This window comes from Homo sapiens, chromosome 5, assembly GCF_000001405.40.
Source record: "Homo sapiens chromosome 5, GRCh38.p14 Primary Assembly".
Lineage (NCBI taxonomy): Eukaryota > Metazoa > Chordata > Mammalia > Primates > Hominidae > Homo > Homo sapiens.
In genome coordinates this window covers 141,078,437-141,094,511 of record NC_000005.10, presented here as the reverse complement: position 1 = coordinate 141,094,511, position 16,075 = coordinate 141,078,437, and the positions used below count along the sequence as shown (strand labels likewise).

General features: G+C 38.0%; 1 gene; it reads right to left on the bottom strand.

Moving 5' to 3' along the window:
* PCDHB@ (protocadherin beta cluster) overlaps positions 1 to 16,075 on the bottom strand; it is a 197,972-nt gene that overhangs the window by 154,854 nt on the left and 27,043 nt on the right.

The window sequence follows — 16,075 nt, the reverse complement described above, 5'->3', positions numbered from 1 at the left end:
AATCCCAGTGCTTTCTTTCAGGCTGATGGCAATCGAAATTGAGTATTTTCAAGTAGTGTCTCTCAGTGTACCGAAGTCTTATTGGCGTTTCGAAAGGCTCTTCATTGCACCCATAGAGACAGGGCAAGAATAAATAAATCTTCACTTCCCTCACAAATCCAAGCTTTTTTTTTTTTTCAAACTGGAAAAAATAAATTTCAGAACCTGGAAGGGAGTGATCTCAGTCCTAGCATGCTTCGGAAAGAAGGCTTAGACTAAGAAAGTTCTATTTTTATTCAGAGTTTGGGCATGTGTGCAACTCAGTGGTGGTTAGATTACCATCATCACACTCAAACCCAGCTGAAAAACAGAGACCCAGGAAAAGCACAGAATCCAAATAAGAGTATTTTAATGGGCACTGAAATAGTCTCCTTACTCATATTTCTTTCTTTGCACTGCTCCCACTTCACATTTTCCTGAACTTTGATGTGTCTGAGCCTCATGAAACTCTCCAAGAGCAGCCAGATATTTCCTTATTGTAAATGTATCAATATTATTTTCCTTTCTAATGCCTAGGAGAACTTTCAACATAACCTCAATTCAATTACCACATCTAGCAAAGAGCAATTTCATAATATTAAATAGCCAGTAAATATTCCAGTTTCCCCAATTATCTTTAAAAATGTCTTTTCAGTGATGGTTTCTTCAATCTGCTTCCAAACAGGGTATATATGTCATTGTTTGTTGTTAGGTTTTTTAATTTTGTCTTTTTGTTTCTTTTTTAATGTTAATATAAAGAAGTTATCAAGCCACAGAATGACATGAAGGAAACTTAAATGCATATTTCTCAGTGAAAGAATCCAGTCTGAAAAGGCAATGATACTGTATAATTCAAATTACATGATACTCTGAAAAAGGCCAAATTATAGAGACATTTAAAAGACAAGTGATAGCTAGGAAGAAGAGGGAGGGGGATGAAGAGGTTAAACATGGGGTACTTTACGATACTACAATGGTAGATACATGACATTATGCCGTTGTCAAAATCCACAGAACTATACAACACAAAGAGTGAACACTAAACTATGAAATTTAGTTAATAATTTACCAGTATTGGCTCATCAATTGTAACAAATGTACCACAGTAATGCAAGATTTTGATAACAGGGAAACTTTGAGTGGGAGAAAATCGGTATGTGAGGGGAACTGTTTGTACTATTTGCTCAATTTTCTGTAAACTCTAAGGCTGCTTTAAAAAATAATTTTACTTTGGGAGGCCGAGGCAGGCAGATCACGAGGTCAAGAGATCAAGACCATCCTGGCCAACCTGGTGAAACCCCATCTCTACTAAAAATACAAAAAAAATGAGCCAGGCATGGTGATGGGTGCCTGTAATCCCAGCTACTTGGGAGGGTGAGGCAGGAGAATCACTTGAACCCGGGAGGCGGAGATTGCAGTGAGCTGAGATCATGCCATTGCACTCCAAGCCTGGTGACAAAGCGAGACTCCATCTCAAAATAATAATAATAATAATAAATATTAGGATGTGTCTCTAAAAGATCCATTGGGTTAAAAAATTGGGGGATGAAGAAAAAAATTAAATATATAGAACAGTTAAAAGAACTATACATAAACTACAACTCTAACCTCCATCCAAACTTAACAATTGTTTATATTTTACCATATTTGTTCTATCTTATTCTGTACACACACCCGCTTTTCTGATGACTTATATGAAAGTAACTTGCAGACATCATATTTCACCTCTAAATATTTCAGCAGGTATCACATAATTATAATATTATCTCATATAATCATAATGGTTCTATCATACCTAAGAAAATTTAAAAAAATTCTACAGTTATCTAAAATCCAGCCCCAATCAAATTTCACTGTCTTTCCATTATCTTTTCCTCAATTTTGATAAGAATTCACACTCACTCAAGTTCCTTTGACAAATGCACTTACTTTTTTAACTATTTGTTATAAGGAATGTCTTAGAAACTTTTTCAACCAACTTTGATAATTGTATTTGGCTATTAGATCTATTTACTCTAGAATACTCCCCCATCTTTAATGACATTAGATTTCTGAAGTGTCCAGACTAGTTGTTTTGTAGGATGTCCTACATTCCAAATTTGATTGTTTCCTCATGGTATCATTTAACCTGTTCTTCTATCCCCTGTATTTTCAGAAAACTGGACTGGATGATTTATTAAATGTAACAATAGCATAATATTTTAAAAAGCTCTCATTTATCATCTTGTAACTGGCTAAAAAAAGGATAATCACAGGTTCCTTTTCTTAACATTTAGAAAACAAATGCCTATCTCTACCTGTTGATATTATTTTTTGCTTTCCATGATTATTACTTTTATATGGATGTTATAATAATTCAAAATATGTTAATTCATTGACATTGAGCATTAAACAAATTCATTGAGGTGAATAACACCCAAGGTCCAAGTCTTTAAAAACAGCTTTTTATATAATCTGCAAAACCTGATTAGGGTCCGAAATAGATGTAGTGAAGATCAGTTATATCATACAGGCAAATTATAACTGGTAGGTTACTCGAAATTTTATATTTAACCAGGTATATGGCTATTTCCTTTGGACAGGTTTTCTGAACTAAAGCAGTTATGGTTAATTTGGGATAACATAAAGGAGAGGAAAATAGGTAATATGAAGAAAATAACATAATCTCTTCTCACAAGCTGGAGAATAGAAAACTTAATATCTAAGATATTTCAGAGGATACAATAACCAAGAACACATTAGGTTTTATTGTGAAAAAAATTTTAAAACCTCTCATGTTGTCATGTGTCCTCACAATTCAGAAGGTTTTACCCATCTTTCATTTCAATGCTATTAACACACCTAGAAATAGAAGTAAGTTTCTCTTTTTCAAAGATTATATAACCAACACCAATATTTTATATTCGTATATAGGTTTCCAGCTTTAAATGCATTATATCCGCTATGCTATTTTAAATCATTTATTTTCTTAAACCTTGATGAGAATACACCTTCCTTCTTTACAAATGCTCTTATTTTCTTAATCTCCTTTAATAAGGAATCATATATATTAGATTATAATTTATAGCATATTTATAAGTCTGAATGAAATATGTTTACATATAGTAATTATTTATATTATAATGAGGGGAATCTATTGCATAATTTAAAAATTATGTTATTACAGTAGGTTTAATTTCTTAGGTTTCGCTTTACTTTTCATATGCTGCACAAGCAGAGACATTATCCTAGGAGTCACTTTCATAATTTTGAAGATTCATTTAATAAAATCTAACATATTAAAATGTTACACAAATAATTTCATATACAGGAATAGAAAAATATTTTCAAAAACATACCAAAAATGAAAGCAAGTCATTACAGTCTTATTACAAAAGTACAGCCATTCAAAAACTAAATAAGAACACATTGTTTGAGTATCTGTCATAATTAAGCTTGCCTCTCTCTTTTTTGGACTAAAGGGTGATTTGATCTTTTGACTGCCATGAGATGAAAATTACAAGAATTAGGAGAAAGGGTAGTCAAAGGGATTTACATGACCATTTTCCTATCAAAGATAATGCCAAATGATATGGAGATATTATCCCCACTAGTATCCCTCTTTCAATAGAGAGGGATCTTCAGCCTTTCAATGCCTTCTGCCCACAAGCTGGCTTTACTTACTCAGCCATAAGATGGCAGAAGAAGGAGGGGTTTTCAGTGATCTAACACTAAGATTCTGCAGAAAATATAAGAGAAATATTCTAGGACAAGAAGGGAGTGTTCTGGCATAGTTTATTACCCTAATCTAGTGTGAAAATTGGGGGCATATTCAACTAATTTACTTTTACCTTATTGAGGATACAAATAAGTTTCCCCATAATCTATCAAGACATACATTTCATGAAGCTCAAGCAAACAAGATTTCAAAATAAAGGTCGGCTACACGTGGTGGCTCACACCTGTAATCCCAGCACTTTGGGAGTCCAAGATGGGTGGATTGCTTGAGTCCAGGAGTTTTGAAGACCAGCCTGCAATGTGGCAAAGCCCCATGTCTACCAAAAAAAAAAAAAAAAAATCAGCCAGGTGTGGTGGCTCACGCCCATAGTCCCAGCTACATAGGGGGCTGGGGTGTTAGCGTCACTTGTGCCCTGGAGGCAGAGGTTGCAGTAAGCCGAGATCACACCACTGCACTCCAGCTTGGGAGACAGAGCGACACCCTGTCTCAAACAACAACAACAACAACAAACAAACAAGCAAATGAAACAAGAAATAAATATAACTCAAAAAGGGGAAATGGTGTTGTTTATTCTCTTCCCACAGTACAAATAAGCAAGAAAAGGTTTTTAAAATGATACCTGCACAAGAATCTTGCCCAATTTTGTTTAAGGAGAACCATCAGAGTCTATTAGGACAATCTGTCCCCTTGAAAATAAAAATCTTGACCAGGACTGCAGATAAAGCTAGATAGACAGATATAGATGGAAATAGAGATGAGAGAGACAGAGGTATGACCTCTTCCAAAAATCTCAGACTTTTTTTTATGATTAAAATAGGTTAAAACTTAAATCAGGTTTAGGTAATCTGGTAGATGATTGAATTTTCACTAAGATCACTATTGAAATTTTACTTTAAAAGAAAATATGGACTGGGTGCTGTGGCTTATGCCTGTAATCCCAGCACTTTGGGAGGCCAAGGCAGGTGGATCACGAGGTCAGGAGATCGAGACCATCCTAGCTAACACGGTGAAACCCTGTCTCTACTAAAAATACAAAAAATTAGCTGGGCATGGTGGCAGGCGCCTGGAGTCCCAGCTACTCGGGAGGCTGAGGCAGGAGAATGGCGTGAACCCGGGAGGCAGAGCTTGCAGTGAGCTGAGATGGCGCCACTGCACTCCAGCCTGGGCAACAGAGCGAGACTCCATCTCAAAAAAAAAAAAAAAGAAAAGAAAATAATATGGCTAAATACAATATCGAAAATTAGTAAATAATGAAGAAATCCAAAGGTGTAGAGAGGGCAAAGAATACGGGGTGAGGGGAAGAAACCTGAAACTCTGACTACAAAATACAAAGCATAAATAATCAATTTAGATATGCTAAAGAAATATAAGGAAATACTTGAAAATTATAACATATTTTCATATCACAGTAATTATTTGAACATCTACTGTGTAAAGAAGCAGGCCAACAAGAAAACAAAGGAATACTAAAACCATAGTATATGCTAAGTGAGGAATCTAAGTGACAGACCCCATATTCCTGAGGTCTGTCAAGATGTAGCCAGTAGAGCTGAAAGAAACAGCTGACCAGCAGCAGTTGTTGTCTGAATCTGGAATACATAGGTGGCATCTCAGTGTCCTTGACCATAACCTGAAGTCTATGATTGGCTAGATTACCATCACTCACAAACCTAGTGTGCACACTTCCCAGTGTTGGGCTAACACGCTATACAGATGGAGACTCAAGTCTTTGAGTAACTGATAGGACATGAAGACCTTCCAGACCTAGTCTCCTTCTACTGCCACCACCTTGAACATCACATAATCCGTTCTGCATTAAATATAACACAAAGGAGAATTGCCATTGCCATCAAATATTACCAACCACACCAACACCATGCTGCTAGCTCATGGTAGTAGTAGTGTCTGTTTCTCTCATACAGAACTTGACTCTTATGGGCCTTACAAACAGATTCTTTGTGTCCACTGTCATGGAGTACTGCACATCCTGGGAAACCAGAAGCAAATAAGTTACTTGGGTGTTTTTCTAAGTCTCTGTTTATGGCAGTGTGCTGCTAAAATGCACACTCTAGGGCTGTGTTTTCATACTTGATAAGTGCAGAGGCAGTTTGGTGAAAATGAAGACCTGGTTATATTGTTTCCTTTCAGCTTACAGTAACTCCAGATCTCTGGCAGTAATCATAGAATTGTACTTGTCTTTAATCTACCTCTATTGAAGGCTTTAGGGTGAAGGGAAGGTGGTATTATGAAGCCCAAATATCTATTTTTTTTTCTGTGATCTGGATCTGAAACACAGGAAACAGCAGATATGGTCTTAAAGCAGATATGGCTCCTTGGGACCTAGTTCATAAATGATGACATGATGATTAGGAGTGGACTGTCTTTTACAGCAAGAAGTTACATTTTCTAGAGTCTTTAATTATTGATGATCTCAGAATCCACACTGTAGATTAGTATAGCCTTGGAATTTACGGGTTTGAGTGATGGGTTTGCTTTTGGTACTTTTATACCAATGTAAATGCTTTATTAAAGTTTTCATTAAGTCTTCAGTAGCCCGGTAAAACCTTAAAGATAGTTTTATATTATACCTTGTATCCAAATTCCTGATAGAAAAGTGATAGCCAGGGAGGAAAAACTTTTTTTCTGGGATTACTGTACTGAACTACTATATATTACAGCTGAGTAAAATCACTGATAACCCACAACTTTGGTGAAGACCAATGCAGATTTGGATCTATGTGGGGACCCACCATCCAATATCATGATAGTTAAATTAACCTCAACCCATTTCTTTCCACTGAGAAAATTGCCCATCCTCATTCAGGATATTTTCTGCCACCATTCTCTAAGCAAACAGAAGAGAAGACATGGGAATTAGGATTCAAAATATACTTATGAATACTGCTCTGTCTACATGTTCTGCCATCTATATGGTCTCTACAAGATGCTCTCCTTGATTTTTTGCAGCATTCCTAGATCCAGTAATACACACTAGTGAATGGCTATATCTGTGAGTCCAAGGCACCTTGTAAAAATGTAACTCATTTTTCCAAGTTACCTTTCTCAAGGCAAATGAGTAACTCAAATGAGTTACATTTTTCCAAGGTGCTTTGAGACTCACAGATGGATCCAATTTCTATTTAGTACCCACTCCTGAGTCTTTTGATTTGAAAATGCAGTTTTTTAAATCTATAGAAACATGAATTACCCTCTCGCTCCCCATACCTCTCAAGTTCCCCATCCTAAGGCCCAAAATCTCTGCAAAATTAGCAATGAAGGAACCACTCTCCAGCACCTCTGGAACAGAATTCTGCAGTTCAGTATCCTGAATGGTACATGCTTAGTAAAACAGAATCACACTTTGTTTTAGACTGGGCTTTAAGTATTACATTATTCCTTCTTCTAACACCTTCCAGCAAATATGGTCCTACACAAACTCTGATCACCCTAATGTTTCTATTACTTATGCCACCAGAATCTTAGACATCCAATACAACTTTCACAGACAGGGTAATATAATATGAAACATACAGCACTGTATTTGCAATCTGCTTTAACCACCATTTGAGCCTGCAGTGCCATTATAGGACCGCCCCCCACCCCCCGTCAGTGCATTAAACTCTCTAGAAAGAAAAAAAGTATTTGAGAAAGGCAAATGAAAACACCAAACACTTTGTATTTATGTAATTATTATCCAGTGTATTGAATAATGTCTGTTTTCATTTTATCAGCAACTATCATAAATATATTAAATATCAACAAATAGGTCTTATTTGAGGCATATTCTGTTGTATCTTCTTTAATTTTCCTAAGCCATACAGGAGAGTATTAAACACTGACATAAAGAAAAAAAAGATAAGATTGTTTTGTCGGTCTGTTTTACATGACATTTAATGTACTGGATATGCTATGATATTAATTGCCAAAGAATTAATCATTTTTGATGTTTAATAAGGAAACAGTAAAAATTAACAAACACAAATTTAACATTGACATAAATAAGCTACACAGCAACTCAGTTGATTTACGTCTTAAATAACGAAAAAGACATTTATTTCTACAGTTTTTTTTCTTGTAGTTGTATATCTCCATTTGATTTCGTGGTCATCAATATCACCAAAATCATCAAATGACTATTTCAAATAAAAAGTTAAAACCATATATTAATAATAGTAATCAAGTAAATAGTTACTTAAACTAAGTAAATGGAGACCAGTCCTGCTGAAAAGTAGACTATCACAACTTGTCAGCCATCATTTACGAAATATCAAGAAAAGCAAAAGATGACTTTAAAATAAATAGCTTGACCTTCTTTGAGAAGTTACGAAGACTATCATTTTATGGATTGAAGTGGGATGAATTTCCTTGTCAAGCTTCAGAATATCTGCTAGGACAGTCTACTCAAAGTTTTAGGGGTAATTTACCTTTGAGAAAGATCAAAGGAAACTAGGCATGAGCAGAAAAAAATGCGTTCCTTTTCTGTGCTTAACAATAAAGAGGAAATACACTACTAGATTCTAAATAGACCTTTGTGAAATAGATAAAAAGATAAAAATAGCTAAGCCATCAATATCTGTTAACTGTTAATGAACAATTAGCTATGCTTCAGAAAAAAAACACGATGGAAATTAGAGCCATAAAATAACCAAAACATTCAGAACGGTGCTGTTATTCCTCTACCTTTTATCCAGAATCCAAAAGGAAGAACGCCAAGGATGATAGCTGTCTCTACCTACTGTCTTGTTTTGAGCTTCCTGGAACCTAATTTCATTGGAAATACAGTGATGTTGCGTGTAGCTCTCTTTTCTGGTTTGCATTATTAGGTTGTCAGATTATGGAATATTTTAAATATCCAATGAAAAGAAAACTCTGGTAGGAAGGATCAAAGCTTTTTCTTGTTTTGTTTTGTTTTTGTTGTTGTTGTTGTTTTATCTCAGGGTGCTGAGATTATGGTTCTTAAACAGATGAAGTCTTCCCAGAAGTGCTCCAGGATGAGGCAGATAAGTGTCAACATGACCAATTCTATGTGATTGTCATCCAATGGCATGGTCTTCCACCGTCCTTCACATGAAGAAACAATTTCTGAAACTATTTCTGCTTGTAATTGCCTGAGTATTTGCCACGTGGCACTGAAATTTCCTGGTAATTCTCTTGCAGTGGATGCTTATGATGCATGGGGTATCAGTGGTATTTAAAATGTTCTGCTAGCATTTAAAATGCTCTCCAGAGGTTGCAGAATTCAGTGAGCCTGGAGAATTCTGAGAGCCGATTCATAATTATTTACTCAGACTAAATCTTCAGCCGGTTGCTGTGAGACCTGCATCTCAAAGATTGTCATTGATTGTCATGACTTGGACTTAGGAGGTCTCAGATATCTACCATTCTTCTCTGGGAGAGTTAAACTTACCTTGGGCTGTGGTTCATCCAGCGATTTTTTTCACGCGTATGGACAAATTACTTACCCCAATATTGCACAGCACATTATTGTGAACATGGAAATTGAAAATGAGTGTGTAGTTTCCAATGATGGAAAATTTACCCAAACCTCATACATGTTCCTGGTGCACATTCTGGAACATTCAGAAGAATTTTTCAAAGGAGGAAACGGTTACACCTCAGACACAGATTTTTCTCAAAAGACAAATTTTTTTTTTTTTTAAATACAGGTAATTCTTGGAAATGCAGGGCTCCTATAGGTCCGATTTTCTACTTGAGAGCAAGGACTCTTCTGTGGGTCGATCTGAAATATTATTTGGTCTCTTTGGAAACTATCCTGCTCCAGTCTGTCCTCCCGCCGCTCCCCTTTCCGCCGCCAGCGCCAATCTCCAGAAACCCTGACCATAAAAAAGCAGTTTTCCTTTTCCTGGGCCGCCTGCGCTACACCCGGGAAGAAAATGAAAACCCACCACCTGCGTTTTCTGCCAGATTTTTTTCTCGCACAATTTCCTGTATATCCTCTGAGTGCATTGCCTTTAGTAAATGAAGTCTTCGGAAATCCTGTAAGACTTCCAAACATTTGTGTAGTCCCCATTCGTTTGAAGAAAGCTCTAAAATCTGAGCTCGCTGCGGACGTTTTCCAACTCGTATCTGTTCCCAGCACCTTTCAGATTTTGTCTTTTCTAAGATGGAGTCTGCAGGCAAATGCAGGGCTCCTCCTCCTCCTACTTTTTAGCCTGTAGTGCCACCAGGCGTCCGAACTGAAAACCTGGGCTGTACAGCGCTTTCCTGCGGAAACTGTCAAAATCTGTTCATATTCACATCTAGGGGCGGAATTCTCACCTCTTGAGTTTTAATTACTTCTCCAATATTTAGTTTACTTAATGTGAACAAAAACAATGGTTGTTTATTATCATAATATCAGCTGTGAGATTTCCTTTGAGAGGAACCGAATTGGATTTCTTTCATTTCAATCAAGCCAGTCATTTGGCCATAAATTCATTGAACTGATTAATTCTTCGCAGGTATTTTTTACACACAGATTATATTCAAGCACTGTAAAAGACATTGGGGATATAAAGTTGAGTAAAGTCTGGTGCCTACACCGCAGGAGGTTAGAATATTAAAAAGGTGACTCGGTGATTTGCATAGGCACTATCAGGTACTAAAAAGGGATATTTAAGAACAGAAGTGAGGTATCAGGAAGAGTCTCAGAGGAGGTGAGGTTTAAGCTAAGTTTAATTTTATGGTACCAACTTAAACACAAACCCATTGAAATGATTTTCTACTGCAGATGAAGTATTTCTGATTTTGCAGGAAATAAGATTTTTCTCGAATGATGTGAATGAACATCGTGGCCCATAGCGGGGTTGCAGTCTTTCAGTCAGTCAACATCACAGAGCCCTGTATGAAGTGTCAAGGGATGACAACTAAAAGACTAGGGATAGGGCCGGGCGTGGTGGCTCACGCCTGTAATCCCAGCACTTTGGGAGGCCAAGGCGGACAGATCACTTGAGGTCAGGAGTTCGAAACCAGCCTGGCCCACATGGTGAAACCCCGTCTCTACTAAAAATACAAAACAGCTGCATATGGTGGCTCATGCTTGTAGTCCCAGCTACTTGGGAGGCTGAGGAAGGAGAACTGCTTGAACCCAGGAGATGGAGGTTGCAGTGAGCCGAGATCATGCCACTACACTCCAGCCTGGCCAACACAGCAAGATTCTGTCTCAAAAAAAAAAAAAGGATAGGGATAGGCCTCTTTTTTCTCTTTGAACTTGGCTCACATCTCCAGTTTAAAGGAAAATCCTGCAGCTTGAGTTAACAATATCTTAAGGAAATATTTAAAGTGGTGATTAAGACTTTATGATGTTGGCTGGGCACGGTGTCTCACGCCTGTAATCCCAGCACGTTGGGAGGCCAAGGTGGGCGGATCACCTGAGATCAGGAGTTTGAGACCAGCCTGGCCAACGTGGTGAAACCCCGTCTCTACTAAAAATACAAAAATTAGCAAGGTGTGGTGGCATGCGCCTGTAATCCCAGCTACCCAGGAGGCTGAGGCAGGAGAATCGCTGGAACCCAGAAGGCAGAAGGCTTCGGTGAGCTGAGATCGCACCACTGCACTTCAGCCTGGGGAACAGAGCAAGACTGTCACAAAAAAAAAAAAAAAAAAAAAGACTTTATGATGTTAAGAGTCATATTCAAGTCCTGGCTCTGCTTCTTCACATACATTAAATTAGGAAAAGTATTTAATCTCTCCAAACTTCTGCTTTCTCATCTGAAAAAAATTATGGATATAATAGTGTTATCTCCTTCATGAAGTTGTGACAATCAAATGAAACAGTGCAGGCCAGGCGCGGTGGCTCACACCTGTAATCCCAGCACTTTGGGAGGGTGAGGTGAGCGGATCATGAGATCAGGAGATTCAGACCGTCCTGGCCAACATGGTGAAACCCTGTCTCTACTAAAATACAAAAAATTAGCCAGGTGTGGTGGTGCGCACCTGTAGTCCCAGCTACTCAGGAGGCTGAGGCAGGGGGGAATCACTTATACCCAGGAGGCCGAGATTGCAGGGAGCTGAGATCAAGCCGCTGCACTCCAGGCTGGTGGCAGAGCGAGATTCCATCGCAAAAAAAAAAAAAAAAAAAGAAAGAAAGAAAGAAAGAAAAAAGAAAAGAAAAGAAAAGAAAAAGAAACAGCGCTTATGAAATGCTCAGCTCAGAGCATGGAACATCATGGTACTTCATAAATGTTTACTATTATTAGTGTAATACTATGAAAGCAAGAACTTCTCTACATTGTCTGGTTTACTCCTACAAACAAATATAAGTCTAAATGACTCCTACACTGCACTCTATTATCCTTCTCCCTTACCTCAATGGAACATGCAGCACATTCTTATTTATGCAAAAATCTAGAACCTTTAAGCATAGCATAAGTTATGAGAATTTCACTCACAGTTTCACCCTTGTTGAATATGAATTATTTTCATTCCTGCATATTCAAACTCTCTCTTTTCAATGAATTATTTGATCTTATCATCCACCTCAAAAATCTTGCCAGAAGCTGGGCACAGTGGCTCACACCTATAATCCTAGCACTTTGGGAGGCTTAGGTGGGCGAACTGCCTGAGCTCAAGAGTTCAAAACTTGCCTGGGCAACAAGGTGAAACCCTGTCTCTACTAAAAATACAAAAAATCAGCTGGGCGTGGTGGCGCGCCTGTAATCCCGGCTACTCGGAAGGCTGAGGCATGAGAATTGCTTGAACCCAGGAGGCAGAGGTTGCAGTTAGCTGAGACCATGCCACTGCACTCCAGCCTGGGCAACAGAGTGAGACTGTCTCAAAAAAACAAAACAAAACGAAACAAAAACAAACTTACCAGGATCCCACACTTCTTTTCAGCTACCATCTCATTTCTATTAATTTCTTAAATATTCAAGCTTCTTGAAAAGATTTTATACACGTACTGACAATACTTCCTCAATTCCTCAGTCTCTCCTTAAACTTTTACAATTCGACACTAAAAGTGTTCATTAATTCACTTCCATAATGCCAAATTCAGTAGATACTTTCATTCTCTTCTCATTTGAACTTTCAGTAACATTAAACATAGTCCACTATTCCCTCCTTCTTGAAACACTCTCTTCTGACTCCTGTGACAGCACCCTCTTTTGAAATTTTTTCTCTCTACCCATTCCTTTTCAATCCCTTTGGGGACTCCTTATTTATCCTTTATATATTAAGGCTTCTTAATTTTGTTTCCCCTATACACTTTCTTTTCTTGTTCTATCTTCTGTTTCATGGAATTTTAATATAGCAATTGCTACATACTAAGTGTGCCATAGTGGGAAGACCCTTTAACCTCCCTGACCTTATTACGATTCTTCATTTATAAAATGTATAATGTGTTCTTTATACTAATACAATACCCAATTTCTACAAGACTCAATTTCTTCATCTGTGAAATGGGCAATAAATTCTTAAGAGACAATGAGATCAAAGATGTAGAGAGACATATTAAAATATATATTTTTCTTTTTTTTTTTTGAGACAGGGTCTCACTCTATTGCCCAGGCTCAAGTGCAGTGGCACAATCTCGGCTCACTGCAACCTCCATCTCCCAGGTTCAAGCGATTCTTGTGTCTCAGCCTCCCAAGTAGCTGGGATTACAGGTGTCTGCCATCACACCAGGCTAATTTTTGTATTTTTAGTAGAGACAGGGTTTCACCATGTTGGCCAGGCTGGTCTCGGACTCCTGACCTCACGTGATCCTCCTGCCTCAGCCTCCCAAAGTGCTGGGATTACAGGCATGAACAACTGCACATGGCCTAAAATATTTTTTTTTCATACTGGTCTCCATTCTACATGGTTTGGTAGCCCTGCCATGAATCTATCTAATTCTTTTAAACTAAGAAGTCTATCTTGAATGTCATATTCATGTTGTGAGTACGCTAGCGAGTCTCAAAACTTTTTTACTTTTCCACAGTTGACAATGGGATGTTTCTCAAAGAACTGCTATGACCTAAGTTTCTTAAGGATCCCATATATGGTAGATTCTTTCAAGATTCAGGATGCACCTTCCATACTGTACTATCATAATGAATGTCATATGTTTTGCCACTTTTGAGGGGAGAATGAAGGATTTAATTTCTAAAGCCTAAAAAGGAAGATCTTTAGGCTTCTGAAGATGGTGATCAGAAGTATCTTTGACATCTCCATCTCTTTCACCACCCTGTCTAACCCATCATCAAGTTTGGTGTATTTTCTCTTCAAATTATTATGACAAATTATTCCATTTCTATTTGAACCCACTTACAACACCCTTACCTGGAATATCTTCATTTGCTCACTGGACTCTTATAAATATGTCTCTTGTCTTTTTCAAACCCACTCAGCCAGTTCTCCACAGACCAGTCAGAATGACCTTGTAAAAATCAAAGTAAAATTCTGTCACTCTGCAGCTGAAATATCTGCAGTGAGTTTTCATTGCTTCAATAATAAAGTTTAAAATCCTCAGTATGGACTAAAAGATCTGGCAATGACCCAGCCCCTGCCTACTTTTCTGGCTTCATTTTTAAAAGTCCTCTCCTTAATAAGTGACTTCCAGCCACACTGACCTATCTATTCTCCAAGATTTCCAAATTCCTTCTAGTCTTCCTTTTTTTTCGTGTGATGTTCTCTCTGTATCCCCATGTTGGTTAGCCCTTGCTTTCCTTTGCATTCTAGTTTAAATGCCAGCTCTCTCAATGAGGCCTTCTCTGACTCCACTAGTAGGGTATATATCTCTACACACATATGTATATATGTTAGATACATAGTCTTTCCCAGGATACTATAAGCGCCATGACAGCATGGTATTCCATGGAGCATAATGGTTCCTTTGTTAAGTGACTAAATCTGATGTGACATTCATATTTTTTCCTTCCCAAAATAATAAAGATTACTGGAGTATAATGTGACAAGCATGTTCTGAACAATACTCTGCTTTTTTTCCCAAGGAATATGAATTTTGGAATGAAAGGCAGGTTGTGTTGAATGAAGCCGACTAATATCCTCCCACCAGACTTTTAGTAATTGGATGACAGGGACTCTTATTTATTCATTTTTATTTCCTCTTTCATTTAAATATCACCATAGTTCAGTCTCAGACTTAGATATTAACTGATAAAAAGACTATATTTTATTTATAGAAATATGGTCCACAGAGATCTGATAAAGAGTATCACTTTCCTACTTCTGAATTTTTATTTACAAACTCTTAAATTTCAACCCTATTTAGGTTTTGCAGTAATCTATACTCATAGTCTCTGGTCTCCCTGTAGAAATATCAGTGTTTACTAACATCCATTTATTTAACAAAATTGTATTGAGGGTCTACTCCAAGAAACTGAGATCATCTCTGAGGAATACAAACTGTAAGTAAAACCAAACACTATCCCTACCCTCAGGAAGCATGATCTGATGGGGAAGAAATACTTTAATCAAATCATCCCACAAATGGATGAAAGACTGAAATTTGGCTACATACTACAAATAAGTGATCTGGTGGCTCTGAGAACCTATAAAAGCCTATAATAGATTTTTATCCAGTCAGAGCAGTCAAAAAAGGCTTCCCTGAATAAATGGCAAGGATAGATAGGCAAAGAAGGAGCGAAACAGCAATTCATGCAGAGAGAACAGCATGCACAATATAGTGGATTTCTCTAAACACTGAAGTCTTTTTTTTTTTTTTTTTTTTTTTTTTTGAGACAGAGTCTCACTTTGCCGCTCAGGCTGGAGTGCAGTGGCGTGATCTCAGCTCACTGCAACCTCCGCCCCCCGAGCTCAAGCGATTCTCCTGCCTTAGTTTCCCAAGTAGTTGGGATTACAGGCACCTGCCACCGCGCCCAGCTAATTTTTGTATTTTTAGTAGAGGCAGGGTTTCACCATCTTGGCCAGGCTGGTCTTGAACTCCTGACCTCATGTTCCACCCGCCTCCGACTCCCAAAGTGCTGGGATTATAGGCATGAGCCACTGCCGGCCGACACTGAAGTCTTAATATATACATTCCCCCATCCAGATTTTCAGTGAGGACCAAATTTGTTCCTAACTTCCTAAAGGGGGAAATAGTACTTGGGACCAGAAGAGGGAAGTAGCTCCTTGCAATGTGAATTTTCCACGCTAGTAGGAAAAGAGCTTTTTTGAGTCACCTTCAAATTAAAGGAAGAAATACAGTGCTAGCATGTATTAAATTCATAAAGGTTTTCATTCTCATTTCAGAGTTGCTGCAACTAATGGCAGTTAAGAAGCCTGGAGGCCGGGCGCGGTGGCTCACGCCTGTAATCCCAGCACTTTGGGAGGCCGAGGCGGGTGGATCCCCTGAGGTCGGGAGTTCGAGACCAGCCTGACCAATAGGGTGAAACCCCG